We start from the raw sequence: 19,786 nt of genomic DNA, 5'->3' as shown, positions 1-19,786 counted from the left end.
AAGTGGTGAAGTCTGGACCTCGGCTTTTAGTGTACTCATCACCCAAATACTGTGCACTGTACCCAATAGGTAGTATTTCATTCCTCAACTCCCTTCCACACTCTCACCTTTTGGAGTTTCCAATTTGTATTATTCTACTCTGTATGTCCGTGTGTAACAACTTTTTTGCTCCCACTTATAAATGAGAATGTGTGGTTTTTGACTTTCTGTTTCTGAGTCATTTCATTTAGGATAATGGCCGCAGTTTCATTCATGTTGCTGCAAAAGACATGATTTAATTCTTTTCCACAGCAAAGTAGTATTCCACAATATGTATATACACACCACATTTTAAAAATCCAATCATTTATTGATGGGCACTTAAGTTTATTCCATGACTTTCTCAATAGGCATTTCTTAAAAGAGGTCATAGAAATGGCCAAGAAGTATATGCAAATGTGCTCAACATCACTAATAATCAGGGAAATGTAAATCAAAACCATAGTGAGATAGCATCTTACATTTGTTGGGATGGCTATTATTAAAAATCAAAAGATAACAAGTGCTGGTGAGGATGTGGTGAATAGGGAACACTTACACACTGTTGGTGAGAATGTAAATTCTATAGCTGTTATTGAAAACAATATGGAGGTCCCTAGAAAAGTTAAAAATAGAACTGACATATGATCAAACAATCTCACTTTTGGATATATAGCCAAAGGATTTGAAATTTGGCACTTCCATTTTCATTGCAGCATTATTCGTAATAGTCAGATATGGAACAAGCTAAATGTTACCAATGGATGAGTGAATAAATTGTGTGTGTGTGTGTGTGTGTGTGTGTGTAATCTGGCCTTAGAAAAGAAAGAAATCCTTCCATTTGTGAGAACATGAATGGATCTGGAGGATATTAAGTGAAATAAGCCAGACACAGAAAGACAAATAGCTGTACTGTATGATCTCACTATGTGGAATCTAAACTCTTAAATTTTTTTCCATTTTATTTATGTATTTATCCATCTCAGCAATATTTTTTTAAGTTACATAATTTTATTTTTTATAATTTCAAATTTTATTTTAGATTCAGGGGTACACATGCAGGTTTGAAACATGGGTATATTGGGTGATGCTGAGGTTTGGGGTATGATTGATTCCATCACCCAGGTAGTGAGCATTGTACCCACTATGCTTTTTCAACCCTTTCCCCCTTTCTTCCTCCCCCTTTTGATAGTCTTAGTGTCTATTGTTGCAATCTTTATGTCCATGTGTGCACAATGTTTAACTCCCACTTACAAGTGAGAACACGCGGCATTTGGTTTTCTGTTTCTGTGCTAATTTGCCTAGGATAATGGTCTCCAGCTGCATCCATGTTGCTGCAAAGGACATGATTTCACCCTTTTTTATGCCTGTGTAGTATTCCATGGTGTATATATTACATTTTCTTTAGGCAATCCACCATTAATGGGCACTTGGATTGATTTCACGTCTTTGCTATTGTGAATAGTGCTGTGATGGAACTTGTGAATGCATATATCTTTTTGGTGGAATGATTTATTTCCTTTTGGATATATACTCAGTAATGGGATTGCTGAGTTAAATGGTAGTTCTGTTTAAAGTTCTTTGAGCAATCTCCAAACTGCTTTGCACAGTGGCTGAACTAATTTACATTCTCACCAACAGTGTAGAAGTGTTCCCTTTTCTCCTCAACCTCACCAGCATCTGCTGTATTTTTCTTTTAGATAATAGCCTAAAATCGCCAAACTCTTAAAAGCAGAGAGTAGAATAGTAGCTGTCAGTGGCTTGTGGGAGGGATAAATGGGAAGATGATGGTTAAAAGTCACAACATTTTAGTTATGCAAAATAACTAAGCTCTGGAGATCTACTCTATAGCATAGTGCCTGTGGTGAATAAAACTGTATTGTGTGCTTAAAATTGCTAAGGGGATAGCGGTGTGTTAAATGTTAATACCCAAAGAAAAAGTAAAAAGCAATAATAATAAAGGGTGTGGGAAGAACCTTCGGGATGTGATAAATGTGTTTATGGCCTTGATGGTGGTGATAGTTTCATAGGTGTATACCTATCCCCAAACTCACTCAGATCTATGCATTACATATGTATACATTTTTATGTATTAATCATATAAAGTAGCTTAAAATTAAAAAGTGGTTTTAAAAAACCATTTATATTAAATACAAAGGAATGGTTCCTCATGAAGGGAGATATTTGAGAGTAGAGTGTAGAGATAAAGGAAATAAAAATAGGGTAGAGATTTAACAGATCTAATGAGATAATCTCAGTAAAATATTTCATAAAATTCATATTGTGAAAAAACTATGCAGTATCATTATTTGTAGCTAGGACATTAGGCATAAAGAATGCTATAATTTTTTGGAAACTGGACCTTCTAGAAAACTGAAGGCTGAGCTGTTGTTAAAACATTTCGTGTTAACCTAGTGGGCATTAGTTTATGCAGTCTCAACTTTATAAGAATATGGATAATTGAAGTATGCCTTCTCTCTAATGGCAGGTTATGCAAATTTCAAGTGTTCATTCAGGAGAAATTACTCAGAAATAATGTAGTTAGAGTACAGTATGTTTAGAACTATTATTGATCTAGAGAAGACTAGGCTATGGGGCTGCTTATACTTCACGCTAATTTTACTCTTAGTAATGAAATAATGATTTCTTTGAGTCAGCATTTAAAATATTACGCTATCAACCTATGCTTCCTCCTTGCATCCATCTTGCTTATTATGTCTACTTTGGAGAATCTGTCACCACTCCTGGAAGTTTTCTTGGGTGAAATAATTCCTTAACTCAAGACAACCAGATCCAGACTGAGAATGCTCAGTATCTCCAAACAGAAAATGTAACCAGAGTTACGTATTCTATTTTTTTTTTTTTTTTGAGACGGAGTCTCACTCTGTCGCCCAGGCTGGAGTGCAGTGGCCCGATCTCAGCTCACTGCAAGCTCCGCCTCCTGGGTTCACGCCATTCTCCTGCCTCAACCTCCCGAGTAGCTGGGACTACGGGCGCCTGCCACCACGCCCGGCTAATTTTTTGTATTTTTAGTGGAGACGGGGTTTCACCGTGTTAGCCAGGATGGTCTCAATCTCCTGACCTCGTGATCCACTTGCCTCAGCCTCCCAAAGTGTTGGGATTACAGGCGTGAGCCACCGTGCCCCGCCATGTATTCTAATTTTTAATTATAGAACGGGGGAAAGTATATAACAGTATATATATAACTGTTATATACTGTTATATACTGCTTATTATACTGAACTATACACGAATAAATGGTTATAAAGTACTATTACAGGAATCATTTTATCCATAATGAACTGAAACATTTCTGCCTAATAGATAATTTATTCACATAATGATTGAATTTCATTTTCACTTTGCCTATCAGGAAACTTAGTGCAAAAACTGTGTCAATATTGGTAATTCATAGTATTCTAAAACCTATATATCTATGTTATTATTTTCCTCTTGATTTCACAAGGATCATATTCCAAATTGCATATATTGGAATAGTCTAATACATTGGATTGGATCATACAATACTGACAATTTTGTAGATTAAAAATGGTCTGATATCAGCAATTTCAAATGGTTCAACCTAATACAAGGGGTCTTCAAAAAGTTTGTGGGAAATGCATACTATGGAAAAACTACGCACGGATTTCAAAAAATTTTTGCACCAAAATAAACTCACACAAAATTGTTATAACATGTCTTAACAGGATTTAGTTTGAGGCACTTAGAAGGATAAGAAGTCAGTTTGAAAAGAGCCCCTACCAGAGAAACATGAATTCTGCTAAAATTGAAGAAAGAACAAGCATAAAATTGATGTCAAAGCCCGGGTGGAAGACTAATGAATTCATAAACTATTGACGCTTTACAAAAAGTTTATGAGGGGCCAGGTGTGGTGGCTCACACCTGTAATCCCAGCACTTTGGGAGGCCGAGGTGGGTGGATCACTTGAGCCCAGGAATTTGAAACCAGCCTGGGCAATATGATGAAACGGCACCTCTACAAAAAAAATTAGCTAGACCTGGTGGTGTGCACCTATAAGTCCCAGCTACTAAGAAGGCTGATGTGGGAGGATCAGTTGAGGCCAGGAGGTCCAGGCTGCAGTGAGCCATGATCACGCCACTGTGCTTCAGCCTGGGCATCAGAGCAAGACCCTGTCTCAAAAGCAAAACAAAACAAACAAAACAAAACAAAACAAAACACAAGAAAACCAAAAAGTTTATGAAGAGAATGCTCCAGAGAAATAGGCAGTTTACAAATGGAATTTTTTTTAAAGATTTTAAAAGCATCACTTTTATATTTAAATTAAATCAAATTTTAAAATTTCAATAGATTTAGGGGTACAAGTGGTTTTTGTTTATATGACTGAATTACATAGGGGTGATGTTTGGGCTTTTAGCGTACCTATCACTTCAAGAGTGTACATTGTATCCAATAGGTAATTTTTCATCCCTCACTCCCCCTCCACCCTCCCGCTTCTGAGTCTCCAGTGTCCATTATAGACCTTTATATGGCCTTGAGAACCGTAACTTAGCCACATTTATAAGTGGGAACATGTATATTTGGCTTTCTGTTCTCTTTTATTGCTGGTGTATAAATATTCCATGGTGTATATATACATATCTCCCATATTTTCTTTATCCACTCATCAGTTGATGGGCACTTAGGTACATTCCATATCTGTATTAGTCAGGGTTCTCTAGAGGCACAGAACTAATAGGATTATATATATATATATATGAGAGTTTATTAAGTAGTATTAACTCGCATGGTCACAAGGTCCCACAATAGTCTGTCTGCAATCTGAGGAGCAAGGAAGCCAGTTCAAATCCCAAAGATGAAGAACTTGGAGTCTGATGTTCGAGGGCAAGAAGCATCCAGCATGGGAGAAAGATGTAGGTTGGGAGGCTAAGCCAGTCTCTAGCCTTTTCACGTTTTTCTGCCTGCTTTATATCCGAGCTGCGCTGGCTGATTAGATGGTGCCCAGCCCACTGACTCAAATGTTAATCTCCTTTGGCAACACCCTCACAGACACACTGAGGCGCAATACTTTGCATCCTTCTATCCAAAAGAAGTTGACATTCAGTATTAACCATCACAGTATCTTTGCAATTGTGAATTGTGCTGTGATAAACATATAAGTACAGGTAACTTTTTGATATGACTTCTATTCCTTTGGATAGATACCCAGTAGTGGGATTGTTGCATTGAATGGTAGACTTACTTGTAGTTCTTTGAGAAACCTCCATACTGTTTTCCATAGAGGTTATTCTAATTTACGTCCCATCAACAGTGCATAAGCATTTCCATTTAACTGCATCCTCACCAACGTCTATGGGTTTTTGACTTTTCAATAATGGTCATTGTTACTGGGGTAAATTCTGTGAAAAATGACATTGGTTTCTTGATAGGAATTTCATTGAATCTGTACACTTCTTTGAACAGTATGGTCATTTTCACAATATTGGTTCTTCGAATCTACGAGCATGGGATGTTTTTCCATTTGTGTCATCTGTGATTTCTTTTTACCAGTGTTTTGTAATTCTCCTTGTACAGATCCTTCAACTCCTTGGTTAAGTATATTTTTAGGTGTTTTTTTCTATAGTTATTGTAAATGGGATTGAGTTCCTGATTTGATTCTCAGCTTGGTTGTTATTAGTATATAGCAGTGCTACTGATTTGTGTATGTTGATTTTGTAACCTGAGACTTTACTGAATTCATTTATCAAATCTGGGAGTCTTTTGGAGGAGTCTTTAAGGTTTTTAAGGCATAAGGTCATATTACTAGCAAAGATAAATAATTTGACTTCCTCTTTTTCAATTTGGATGCGCCTTATTTTTTTATTTTTCTTTTGCCTGATTGCTCTGGCCAGGACTTTGAGTACTATGTTGAATAGGAGTAGTGAAAGTGGGCATTCTTGTCTTGCTCCAGTTATGAAGGGGAATGCTTTTAATTTTTTCCCATTCAGTATGATGTTGGCTGTGGGTTTGTCACATATAGCTTTTATTATTATTTAATTTTTTTTTTTGAGACAAGGTTTCTCTCCCTTCGCCCAGGCTGGAGTGCAGTGGCGTGCTCTCAGCTCACTGCAGCCTCTGCCTCCTGGGTTCAAGTGATTCTCCTGCCTCAGCCTCCCGAGTAGCTGGGAGCTCAACTCCCGAGTAGCTGGGAGTACAGAAACCTGGCTAATTTTTTATTTTTAGTAAAGATAAAAATTAGCCAGGTTTGGTGGAGGGGGTTTCACCATGTTGGCCACGCTGGTCTCTAACTCTTGACCTCAAGTGATCTGCCTGCCTCAGCCTCCCAAAGTGCTGGGATTACAGGCTTAAGCCACTGCGCCCAACCTCTTTTATTATTTTGAGGTATGTTTCTTCTATGCCTAGTTTGTTGAGGGTTTTTTATCATGAAGAGATGCTGAATTTTATCAAATGCTTTTTCTGTGCCCTTTGAGTCTATCATATAGTTTTTGTTTTAAGTTCTTTTTATGTGGTGAATTACATTTATTGACTTGCATATGTTAAACTATCATTGTGTCCCTGGGATGAAATCCACCTGATCTTGGTGAATTAATTTTTTGGTGTGCTGTTGGATTCAGTTTGCTAGTATTTTGTTGAGGATTTTCACATTTAATTTTATCAGGGATTTAGGTCTGTAGTTTTCCTTTTTTTGTTGTGTCCTTTCCTGGCTTTGGTATCAGGGTGCTACCGGCTTTGTAGAATGAGTAAGAGAGAATTCCCTTTTTCTTAGTTTTTTGGGATATTTTAAGTATGTCAGTTATTTGAAGGTCTGGTAGAATTTGGCTGTGAATCTGTCTTGCCCTGGGCTCTTTTTTTGTTCTTGTTGGGAGATTTTTTAAAATTACCGATTCAATCTCAGTACTTATTATTGGTTTGTTCAGGATTTCTATTTCTTCTTGATTCAAGCTTGGGGATTGCATGTTTCCCAGAAATTGTCAATTTCCTCTAGATTTTCTAGTTTGTGTGCATAGAAATGTTCGTAGAAGTCTTGGATGATCTTCTGTATTTCCGTCTAATCACTTGTAATGTCTCTATTTTCATTTCTGATTGAGCTTATTTGAATCCTCTCTATTCTTTTTTTTTTTTTTTTTTTTGAGGCGGAGTCTTGCTCTGTCCCCCAGGCTGTAGTGCAGTGGCGCGATCTCGGCTCACTGCAAGCTCCGCCTCCCGGGTTCACGCCATTCTCCTGCCTCAGCCTCTCGAGTAGCTGGGACTACAGGCGCCCGCCACCACGCCCGGCTAATTGTTTTTTTTTTTTTTTTTTTTTTGTATTTTTAGTAGAGACGGGGTTTCACCATGTTAGCCAGGATGGTCTCGATCTCCTGACCTCGTGATCCGCCCGTCTTGGCCTCCCAAAGTGCTGGGATTACAGGCGTGAGCCACAGCGCCCGGCCTTCTTTTCTTGGTTAATCTAGATATTTGTCTGTCAATTTTGTTTATCTTTTCAAAGAATCAGCTTTTCATTTCATTGATCCTTTGTATTTTTTTTTTTTTTTAGTTTCAATTTCATTATTCTACTCTGATCTTAGTGATTTCTTTTATTCTAGCTTTGGTTTTGGTTTGCTCTTATTTTTCTAGTTCCTTCAGGCATGTTTCTAGGCTCTCAATTTGTGATCTTTCTGTCTTTTTGATGTAGACATTTAGGACTACAAACTTCCATCTTTTTTTTTTTTTTTTTTTTTTTGAGATGGAGTCTAGCTCTGTTACCCAGGCTGGAGTGCAGTGGCACAATCTCGGCTCACTGCAACCACCACCTCCCCGATTCAAGCGGTTCTTCTGCCTCAGCTTCCTGAGTAGCTGGGACTACAGATGCCCACCACCACGCCCAGCTAACTTTTGTATTCTTAGTAGAGATGGGGTTTCACCATGTTGGCCAGGCTAGTCTTGAACTCCTGACCTCAAATGATTCACCTGCCTTGGCCTCCCGAAATGCTGGGATTACAGGTGTGAGCCACTGTGCCTGGCCCAAACTTCCCTGTTAGCACTACTTTTGTGATATCCTAGAGATTTTGATAACTTGTGCCATTGTTATCAATAATTTCAAAAAATTTTTAAATTTCCATTTTTATTTCATCATTGATCCAAAGCTCATTCAGGTGCAGGTTGTTTAATTTCCATGTATTTGTATGATTTTGAGAGTCATCTTGGAATTGATTTCTAGTTTTATTTTGCTGTGGTCTGAGAAGATATGTAATATAATTTCAACCTTTTAAAAATTATTGAAGCTTTTTTGTGGCCTATCATGTGATGTATCTTGGAAAATATTCCATGTGCTGATGAGAAGAATGTATATTATGCAATTTTTTTTGCTAGAATGTTCTGTAAATGTCTGTTAGGTCCAGTGTTTCTTTGTTGACTTTCTGCCTTGATGATCTGCTTAGTGCTGCCAGTGGACTGTTGAAGTCCCCCACTATTATTATATTGGTGTCTTCTCTTTTCTTAGATCTAGTAGTTTTATGAATCTGGTAACTCTGATATTACGTGCATATATATTTGGTATTTTTATATCGTTGGGTCTATAAGACTCTTTACTAGTCTCTTGAAGGCAGTAGATATTTGGATTGTGTTTTCAAAATCCATTCCACCATTGATATCTTTCAAGTGGGGCATTTATATCATTTACATTCAAAGTTGATATTGATATGTAAGGTACTGTTCCAGTCATCATGTTGATTGTTACCTAGTTGCTTTTATTTTCCATTGTGCTACTGTTTTTTAATCCCTGTGAGTTTTATACTTTTAAGTGTTTTTATACTGGTGCATATGGATATTTCGTTTTGATGTTTAGAACTCTTTTGAGTATTTTTTGCAAGACTGATCTAATGGTGGCAAATTCCCTTAGTGTTTGCTTATCTGGGAAGGACTTCATTTATGAATCAGTTTTGCAAGATACAAAGTTCTTGGCTGACAGTTATTTTGTTTAAGAAGACTAAAGCTAGGACCCCAATTCCTTCTGGATTGTCAGGTTTCTACTGAAAAATCTGCTGTTAGTCTGATAGATTTTTCTTTTTAAGTTATTTGATGCTTTTGTCTCACTATTCTTAGAATTCTTTCTTCATGTTGCCTTTAGGTAGCTTGATGACTATATGCCTTCCTAATGTCCTTTCTGCAATGCATCTTCCAGAAGTTCTTGAGATTTTGAATCTGGATGTCTAAGTCTCTGGCAAGACTAGGGAAGTTTTCCTTAATTATTCTCTCAAAAATAGGTTTCCAAACTTTTTGCTTTTTCTTCTTCTTTCTCAGGAATATCTATGAGTAATATCTATGATTCTTTTTTTTCTTTTTTCTTTCTTTTGAGACAGAGTCTCACCCTGTCACCCAGGCTGGAGTGCAGTGGCATGATCTTGGCTCACTGCAACCTCCACTTCCTGGGTTTAAGTGATTCTTGTGCCTCAGCCTCCCAAGTAGCTGGGTTTATAGGCACATGCCACCATGCCTTGCTAATTTTTGTATATTTTGTAGAGACTGGGTTTTGCCATGTTGCCCAAGCTGGCCTCAAAGTCCTGAGCTCAAGCAATCTGCATGCCTTGGCCTCCCAAAGTGCTGGGATTACAGATGTGAGCCACTGAGCCTGGCCAGGAATATCTATGATTCTTAGGTTTGGACCTTTTGCATAATCCCATATTTTTTGGAAACTTTGTTTATTTATTTTTGTATGATTGAATTAATTCAAAAGCCATGTCTTCAAGCTCTGAAATGATTTTTTTCTGCTTGGTACAGTTTATTGTTAATACTTTCCACTGCATTTTGTAATTCCCTAAATTAGTCTTTCATTTGTAGATGTTCTGTTTTATTTAAAAAAGTATTTATCTCTTTGGAAAATTTTTCATTCTTATCCTGAATTTATTTTTGATTTCTTTTTGTTAGATTTAAAATTTTTCTTGGATCTCATTGAGCAACTTTACAATCAATATTTTGAATTCTTTATCTGGTATTTCAAATATTTCATTTTGGTTTGGATCCACTGCTGAAGAGTTAATATGATCCTTTCAGGGTGTTGCAAGGTTCTGCTTTTCTATATTGCCAGAATTATTTTTCTGGCTTCTTCTCATCTGGATAGACTATTTCTTTTCATTATTTTTGAATTTATTTTTTGATTGGACTAAGTTTTCTTTTTATACCTTGAGGATGTGACAATAATGTACAGTTTATGATGACCTAACTTCAGCTCTGGGTGGTGCTTTCAGTGGCAAAGACACTGTATGAGTTCCTTGGTTATAGAGAATCTTTATATTATAGCTTTCTCAGATGTTGCTCATAGTAGTGATGTACTGGGTGTATGAGCAGGCTTATTGTCTCCTTTGGGGTCAGAATGGCAGAGTTCTCAGGAAACTTATCTTGTTCCCCAGTGGTGTGCATTCCATTTTTTTTTTTTTAAACTGGGTTGAGCAGTTTAGCCTTCAGGCCAGCAGGAGGCACCTGTGGGTAAGAATTGGCTGTGGCTGAAGCAGGTGGGTATATTCAATACCCCATTGGTGAGCAAAAGCCCTATCCCTGATGAGGCAGCTGGGGGAGCTCCTGGTGAAATTCACTGACGCCTTTGCAGTGGGGGGACGGAAACAGCCACTTTATTTCCAGTACCAGGCCAGGAGGAAAGTGATCAAACTCCCTGTCACACCCTTGTCCTAGTACTCTGGATATTCAGATCAGACAGGGACCTCGTCCATCTGCAGAAATGCTGATGTTTCTTGTATAGAGGGAGTGGGACTCCACTCCTCATGCAATCCTGAACCCAGAGGGCACACCTCCTATGGTGATGCTGTCACCTCAGAATGTTCCATAAAAGCCTTCTACAGGTGCACCCTTGCCAAGCTCCCATGGGAGAAGCTCTGGTGGTGTCTTCAGTGGTGGGTGAGAGAGATAAAAAGTCCCTTTATGCAAAATGGTGAGAGGTATGAAAAGTCCCTTTATAAGCACCAGGGCTATTCAACTGCTAGGGCAGAACCAGTCTTCCCCTACTAAGCCCAAGACTGCACCCGTGCCTTTGTTGAAGGAGGTGCAGGTGCTTCCTGCCCACAGTGGGAAGATCTGGGACACAGAAAAGCCCACATTCTAGTTTCTTTTGTTCCCCAGAGTGCTCCCTTGATGTGGTACACTCCTCCTTCCCCCAGGAGTGGCAGTCTTGGAGAGCAAGACTACTGTGAATCCTGATGCTCCTCTGGCTCTAGCCATCACCTCGCGGGTCTGCCGCAATCCAGGCTGATGCTGGGAAATGTCAGCAAGTGATCTGGGGATGTGAAGACACAAGGGTTGAAAGTCCCATAGCAGAACAATGTCCCATAATGATTGCACATCCAGTATGGCACTTGCTTCTATAGCTCAGGTCTAGGGGGAAAGGAAGGAACATGCACAAGCTGGTAGCCCAGTGTAATGCCCTTAAGAAGCCCCCAAATCACAGGCCAATCCAATACTTGGGCTTACAAGTCCAAATAAGCTCTCCTTGAGTTTGGATACCAGCAGGCTGCCACAAGGCCTACAGAGGCTGAAAGCATTCCATTCACTTTCCACAGAATGCTCTGTCTCTTGGGGTTTAAGCTCTACCAGCTTCTTGTTTCTTTCTTTTTTTGTGTATCATAGATTTTTCCAGTGAACTCTCCAAAAAGCTCCAGCACTCTCCCCTTAATACTCCATTTGCGCTGTGATCATCCAAGTGTAATTTTGGTTTTTCCTTCCCAGAATTTGTCACTGATAATCTCTAGTCAGCCATCTGGAGAAGCTCTCGGATGCTTCAGGCTATGGAGTGGTCTGTGAGATGTGCAGTAGCCTGGACTCCACTCTTATGCTCCAGAGGTGATGTTGAGTGGAGCTGGACCAGGCTGACCCATCCTATGGTTTCCCAGTGGCAGGTTCAAGTACCAGCTCTAATGATGGTGGCACGGGAGTGGCTTACACTCTGTAAGATTTCCTTGGTTGTAAATAGCCTTGGCATTGTGGCTTTCTCCATTGTTAGATGTAGTAGTAATGTGTTGGGCATGTGAATGGGCTCAAGGCCTCCTGAGTAGCTTTGGTGGTGCAGTCAATAGTGTTAGCTGAGATCATGCAAAAGCCTTTTTCTTCTTGAGTGCTGTTATTGTGCCATCAGATATTGTAGTGGGCTAGGCCAGTTGACCTCTGGCCAGGATGTGGTGCGTGCAGTAGAGAGCCAGCTGCAGTGGCAGCTGTGGAATTTATGCTTGGTCTATATTACCCAGGGTAAATACTCAGATATCCTAGGCAATGGGTGAGCCCATGGAACTCTCAAAAATTCCTGTCCATGTTCTGCTACCAAAGCGAGTGGAAGGGCAAAGCCAGGTGAGGGTTGGATCAGGCAAGTCAGTGCTCTAGCTCCTCAAGTGTGGGTACAAATGGTGGCCCTGATGGGGGTCAGAGGGCAGCTCCCTGGCCACTGGGACAATGATGCGGGGAGGGGTACAACCACTTTTGCTGCACAAAAGTGTCTGTATGGGGAAAAGGGGTAGCAGGTGGCAGTAAGACCCACCCAACTCCCATGCCTTTGGCACAGTAGGTCTCACATACACAAACTTCTGCTGGCAGAAAGCTGAAACAGCCAGCTGAGTTCCAGACAGTTCATGCTCAGAATGCAAAACTTCCCAACCAAGACAGAAACAGAAGGATGTGGCCTGAAAGCCACATCCTTCCCAATATGACCTGCAAAACAGGGGCGCCTAATTTTGGACCTGTAGCAAGAGCATGCTTTCTTCTTGCCTCTTGGTTCTGGCCTTGAGATTATTGAGATTACATCTCATTCTTACTTGAGATGAGATCACACATCTCAGTTTGGAGCTTCTCTCAACCTATGACCACTGCCTGAGTTAGCTGGCAAGTTTCTGAAAGATTCCCTGTGAGTTAGGATCAGGAATGCCTTCTTTCTGTCCCCACTGACATCTGGGAGTTCATGCAAAGCACATCCTGATGCCATTCCTTTTCATATACTCCCCACTACTCACCAAATTAGCTCCAGCTCCTGGTAGGGTCAAGTCACTCCCTCATGGCCTGGATTGCACAGCTCCCAAGTGGGAATTTGTATCATGGAGACAGTCTGTCTCCCTTTCATGTTCTCAAGACTCATAGTTTTCCAACGGACTCATAGTGCAAGTTGCTGTCTGCCACTCCTTTCAAGGTATTCAAAGTTTGTTTCAGTGTTTCTGTTGAGTTCCTGTGCTCCTTCTTGGATAAAAGTTCATAGCATGAATCTACACACTATATTGCTCTTATCAAGTGGGTGCAATGTGCTAACAAAGACTCCAATCTATCATTTTGAAAAACAAACAAAAAATAGATAACTTGTTTTAAGAAGTGATGAGACGATGTTGAAGATGAAACATGCAGACCATCCACATCAATTAACAAGAAAAAAAAGTTCATCTTGTTCATGCCCTAATTGAAGAGGACCCATGATTAACAGTTGGAACAATAGCCAGCACCATAGATATCTCAATTGGTTCTGCTTACACAATTCTGGCTGAAAAATTAAAGTTGAGCAAACTTTCCGCTTGATAGGTCCCCAAACTGTTGTGCCTAGATCAGCTGCATACAAAAGAAGAACTTTCAATAAAAATTTTAAACAAGAGGAATCAAGATCCTGAAGCATTTCTTGGAATAATTTTAATAGGGGGTGAAACATGGCTTTTCCAGTATGATCCTGAAGACAATGCACAGTCAAAGTAATGGCTACCAAGAGGTGGAAGTGGTCCAGTCATAGCAAGTTTGAATCAGTCAAAACCAAATATTATGGTAACAGTTCTTTGGTATGCTCAAGGCATTTTGCTTGTTGACTTTCTGGAGGGCCAAGGAACAGTAACACCTGCTTATTATAAGAGTGTTTTGAGAAAGTTAGCTAAAGTTTTAGCAGAAAAATGCTTGGGAAGGTTTCACCAGAGAGCCCTTCTCCACCACAACAATGCTTCTGCTCGTTCCTCTCGGCAAACAAGGGCAATTTTGTGAGAACTTGGATGGGGAATCATTAGGCATCCACCTCGCAGTCCTGATTTGGCTCCCTTGGATTTATTTTGTTTTCTAATCTTAAAAAATCTTTAAAGGACACCCATTTCTCTTCAGTTAATAATGTAAGAAAATGCTTTACCGACATGGTTAAAATACCAGGACCCTCAGTCCTTTAGAGATGGACTAAATGGCTGGTATTGCTTACAGAAGTGTCTTGACCTTGGTGGATCTTATGTTGAGAAATAAAGTTCATATTTTTCATCTTTTAACTCCATTTTCCACAAACTTTTTGAAGTCTCCTCACATATATCACTATACTATATACTTATAACAATTTATGCTAATAAACATTTTTAAAGTATTTACTCATTTTAGATATATTTTAATTATATTACTACAGGTATTCGTTAAGCTCTTTCAAATCCTATGTGAAATGAAATAGAATATTAAAAAGTAAGTAATTTATAATTAATTATATATTTATCTTTGGTCAATAATTATACAAATACATTTATTATAAAATAAATGTAGCTGTGTGCTTGTGGAGAAAGAAGAGAAATTGAACCTGTTGTTAGCAAGAGAAGCTGCTAGCCATTTCACTGTCTTGAAAGATTTAGAAAGTTACTTGGGCAGATATTTTCTGATTCTTTCCTGAACACTTGAGTGGTTTCTTCAGAAGAATAGTTGTGGAATGCCTGAGAAAGCCTGCTCATCCTGGTAGCTTTTGGTAAACAAAGATTCTTGTTGGCAATAATATAGGCAAGTTTTCACAGATGCCAAGAGCCTCCTGGGAGGAAAGGAACTGATATCCTGTAATTTCCAAATTGGTCTGCCGTAAGGAAAGGCCTCAGAGCTTGCTGTGTCTGACCCCTCAGCCAGAATAGCATATTTACTAATCCTCGGACTTCTTGCATTTGGGAATGAATCTGTTAGGTACAAACAATGCTAGCAACTGAGATTGTAGAGTATGAGTTCTAGTATGGCATATTTCAGTATTGGTGTTGAAGAAAAACTTAGGAACTGAAATAAAAAAAACTCATATAGAGGTTTTTTTCATACTCTATTTTCCCCTATAGGGCTTTAGTTCTTATTTGACCTCTATAATAGCTTTAGGTATGGAAAGCCATCATACTTCAACCTCCTTGTCATTAAATTTGCTTGATAGGGTTCTGCCCATGATGTGTGACAAAATAAACTTCCAGGGAGTAGGACAGGCTGACCTTTGAACATACTGTGATGTCTTAGGCCTTTGCTCTATATCTTTTGTGTTTGTGCATATGAGTGATATCCTCCAAGACCTACCAGCTAGTTACTCAATCAAGTATTTAAAGTGTTCTTATTTACTCCTATAGCCTATAAAAACAAAACTTCCAGATATGTACTGAGCTGTCACATCAATAAAGCATAAGCAGGATTTGAAATAGAGATATGTACGCTTGATAGGTCTCAGAATTCTTAAGACTTTCCTTCTGCATAAGGCATGCAATACACCTGGTGGCATAAAATATTAAGGGTAGTCCTAAAATGACCAAAATGCCAATAATGCTTATGAGTGTAAAAATTCTGAACTGCAGATATCTGTCCTAACTATCCTGTCATTTTTAAAATTTGAAAAAAGTGGGACTTCCTTTCTTTGTCCTAATTCCATCAGGTCTTTGACATCCTGAAGTGTTAGTGTATCGTCTCCCCCGTTCCGGTATATATAGGTTTCTAACTTTAAGCAACTAGGAATCCCATGCACATTTAGCCAATGACCATATGTTCATCTTTTTTTTCCATTTCAATTTTCATATCCATAATATTTACCTTAAAATCAAATGGTTAGTGCCATGTGAAAAAAAGGTGAATTTACAGCATATTCAGGGGACTTGGGACTTAACCTGCCTATTGCATACAGAGAATTTCTGATTACTGATTTTCAGGAGTATTTTGCTGGGAATACTTTCAGAGAGGATAGTAAAATAAAAAGTATTTACATTCACTCAATAAACACTTATTAGATATCTATTAAGTTCTGGGCCCTGCGAATAAGGATTGGGGAGACACAGATAACTAGAATGTATCTAGTACATTGTGTCAGTGAGCCTGCCAACTTCCAATATATCCTTATTTTGAAGAGATATCTATATTTATTTAAGGTTTTTGTATCTTTACCATCATCCTTCATCTGAATCTCAATAATCTACATTTTAGTTATTTTATTTTATGTAACACCATTTGATTTCTTGAGGTTTGTTTTGGTCCCAGTTTTAAAGGTCTGTTCAGTGGTTTGGATCCTTACTTGTGGTCATGCCAAATGTGAATTGTTAATTTTGATCACCTCTGCATTTGTCCAACACCAAAATAGGCTCTGCTCATTTACAAACAAATTTAAAGTGTAAGTTTCTGTGAAAAAAACATTGTAAAACCTTGTACTTACATGTGGCCACTGAATAGTTTCATCTTTCGTTAAAAAGAGTATAATTTCACATGCAATTAGAAGTATACCAATTATTGCAAGGCCGAAACTGTTTAAATTCATCCATATGGCATACATCAACTGGAATAGATACAAAATGTCAACTAGTTATATGTGGAACAAACAAGCTGACATGAAGTTATTAGTTTGCATTACTGATAAACATGTTAAAGCTGAGGATTTGTTATAACTTCTGATTTTTTTCTGAATCAGCGTTTACTCTAAGGGTTCCCAACCTCCAAATGTGTCAGGATTCCAATAATACACATGGTTTTCTGATACTGCATGCAGATATTTCATTTCCTCATTAAATATAAAATTCTTATGGGCACTGTGTTGAGGCAAAAAAGAAAGTGCTACATTCTAATGGGAGAGAAAAACTAGCAACAGTAAATGTGAAGAGAATGCAATATATACTGACATCATGAATAAACCCAATGTTCTCTGCAGGGGCAGATTAAAATGAAGCTAAAGGCACTTGTGTCTGAGCTTCTCAAATGCACAGGTCTTTTCCAAGGCCCCAGGAGAAGCCATGCCTACCATCTTAAAATAGTGAGTTTTGGCTCTTCCTTTCCAATATTTATATTTCTGACTTTTTTTGGTCTTATTTCATTAACCAGGATGTCAAATTTGTATACTGAGTAGTAACAATGAAAGTGTTCATTCTTGTCTTGTGCCTTGTTTTAATAGGAATGCTTCTAAAGTTGCATTATCAAGTATGATATTTGCTGTAAATTTTTAATAAATATTTTTGTCATCAAAAGGACATTCCTAGATATTCCTAATAGCTTTTTACCATGAATGATTACAGATTTTGTTGAATTATTTTTTGACATCTTTTAAGATGATCAAATATTTTCTTATCCTTTAATGTGGTAAATTACATTGAAATAGTTTTAAAAATAAACATTGATGCATAACATGCATTCTAAAGTATGCAGCTCAGAGAATTATTACAAAGTGTAAGCATTCATGTAGCCACCACCCATATCAAGACACCAAACATATTCAGCAACCCAGAAATCACTTATATCTCTTTTCATTCCCTATTCCCATCCTCCTCCATAAGAGAAACCACTAGCTGACTTCCAACACCATTGATTCGTTTTGTCTATTTTTGAACTTTATATAAATGTAATCATGCAGTACGTACCGTTTTGTGCCTTGTTGCTTTCACTCAAAATTATGTTTGTATGAAATCCATCAATGTTGTTATGTTTAGTAGTAGTTTTGTTCATTTTCATTGCTATGTTATTTTCCATTCTATCAGTGTGCTATAATTTGTCTATCCATATTTTTACCAATGCACATTTGGGTTATTTCCAGTTTTGGCTACTGTGAAAAAGGAGGCTATAAACTTGTATTTCCTTTCGTAAAACATAGGTAAGCATTTCTGATAGGCCTATATCTAGAAGTAGAATTACTCAGTCATAGGGTAAACATGTGTTCAACTCTGGAAGATACGGTCAAACAAATTTCCAGTGGTTGTAGAAATTTAAACTTCCACTAGTAGTTGTTTTACATTCTTGCCAATAAGTTAACCATTCTGGCAAGTTTGCTGTAATATTTCATTGTGGTTTTAATTTTTATTTTCCTAATTTTTAATGAGCTTAAGCATATCACTTTTATTTTTTTCTATTTTTATCATTTCTGCCAAACTTACAAAACAGCTGTACCATTTTGTGATGTATTTGAGTTATACAGTATGATGTTTTGATACACATATACATAGTGTAATGATTACTACTGTCACACAAAAGATCATGTCCATCACATCACATAACTACTTCTTTTGTGGTAAGACCACTTAAAATCTATTCACTGAGCAAATTTTAAATATATGTTATCGCCTATAGTCCTCATGCTGTACATTAGATCTCTAGGCTTATTCATCCTACATCACTGCAAGTTTGCACCTTTTGATCTACTTCTCCCCATTTCCTCCCCTCTCTGCCTCTGATTACCACTGTCCTACTCTCTGTTTCAATGTATTTGTTGTTTATTAGATTCCACATATAAGTGAGATCATACATTCTTTTTATTTTTGTGTATAGCTTATTTCACTTAGCACAGTGTTCCTCAGGTTCATCCATGTTGTTGCAAATGGCAGTATTTCCTTTTTTTTTTTTTAAGGCTTAACAATATTCCATTGTGTATGTGTGTGTGTGTGTATGTGTGTGTGTGTGTGTGTGTACCAGTTTCTTTATCCATTCATCATTGATGGACACAGGTTGTTTCCAAATATACGCTATAGTGAATAATGCTGCAATGAAAATGAGAGTACAGATATGTCTATGATTTGCTGATTTCATTTCCTTTGGTAAAAGAGGGATTGCTGGGTTATGTGGTAGTTTCATTTGTAATTTCTTGAGGAATCCCCATACTGTCTTCCATAATGGCTGTACCAATTTACATTCCCAACAACAGCGTATAAGGGTTCCCTTTTCAGTTTAATTATATTTTAATGAATGTATTGGCCATTTGAATATCATTTTGTATAAGGTGGCTGCTCAAGGATTTTGTCTATTTTTATTGGGCTATCTGCACTTTTTATTGATTTTTAGAAGTTCTTGATATGTTGTGGATACAAGTCTTTCACTGGTGATAAATGTGAAATTAACTTTCCCTGTGTGGCTTACCTAGTTTTTGTGAATAGTGCCATTTGGTGAATCAAAGTTTCTAATTTTAATGTGTTTTCCTGTTTATATCTGGTTTAGGAAATTTTTACCCACCACAAAATCATGAAAATATACACTTATCATCTAGAAGCATTTAATTTTACTTTTCACATTTATATTTGAAATCTTCTTAAAACTGACTTTTTTGAGTGTGTATGGGGTACGGTAGGACTAAAGTTTCATTCTTTTCACATGAGTCACATTCAGATGGCTCTAATTACTGAAAAGGCTGCTTGGTTCCCATTGCTCTGCAGCGCCACCTTGGTCAGAAATCAAATGTCTATGTAAGCATGTGTCTGTTTCTGGAAACTATTCTGTTCTATTTATTGGTCTATTTGAGTGATAATATCATACTGTCTTTTTAAAGTTTTAATAAGTCTTAAAATTTGAGAGAGTACATCCACACTGTTTTTCTTCAAGATCATTGCAGCCTTTTTTATTTACACATACATTTTGGGATCAAGTTGACTTTCTAAAAATAGTTTTTTTTTTTTTTTTTTAGATGGAGTCTCACTCTGTTGCCAGGCTAGAGTGCAGCGGTGCGATCCTGGCTTACTGCAATCTCTGTCTCCCGGGTTCAAGCGATTCTCCTGCCTCAGCCTCCCGAGTAGCTGGGACTACAGGCATGTGCCACCATACCCAGCTAATTTTTTTATTTTTAGTAGAGACGGGG

At 37.9% G+C, this 19,786-nt stretch overlaps 2 long non-coding RNA genes across 5 annotated transcripts in view, besides 1 other annotated feature; one reads left to right on the top strand and one right to left on the bottom strand.

The window, feature by feature from the left end:
* Positions 1 to 19,786, top strand: part of LOC105369321 (uncharacterized) — a 95,635-nt gene that overhangs the window by 59,125 nt on the left and 16,724 nt on the right. The gene's annotated exons all lie outside the window — the stretch shown is intronic.
* LINC00301 (long intergenic non-protein coding RNA 301) overlaps positions 1 to 19,786 on the bottom strand; it is a 71,399-nt gene that overhangs the window by 42,345 nt on the left and 9,268 nt on the right. Inside the window, exon 3 of the long non-coding RNA NR_026946.1 lies at positions 16,397 to 16,516. This is a non-coding gene — a long non-coding RNA (long intergenic non-protein coding RNA 301). The remainder of the gene's footprint in view (positions 1 to 16,396; positions 16,517 to 19,786) is intronic.
* Positions 10,734 to 10,833: an enhancer, noted in NCBI's record as "active region_4774". NCBI's record gives its function as "activates an Ori minimal core promoter by ATAC-STARR-seq in GM12878 lymphoblastoid cells {active_cell/tissue: GM12878}" and the evidence as "EXISTENCE:reporter gene assay evidence [ECO:0000049][PMID:35858748]".

This window comes from Homo sapiens, chromosome 11 (genome assembly GCF_000001405.40).
Source record: "Homo sapiens chromosome 11, GRCh38.p14 Primary Assembly".
NCBI classification, from domain to species: domain Eukaryota; kingdom Metazoa; phylum Chordata; class Mammalia; order Primates; family Hominidae; genus Homo; species Homo sapiens.
The sequence above is the reverse complement of the archived record's forward strand: the minus strand, read 5'-3'. Positions and strand labels throughout refer to the sequence as shown.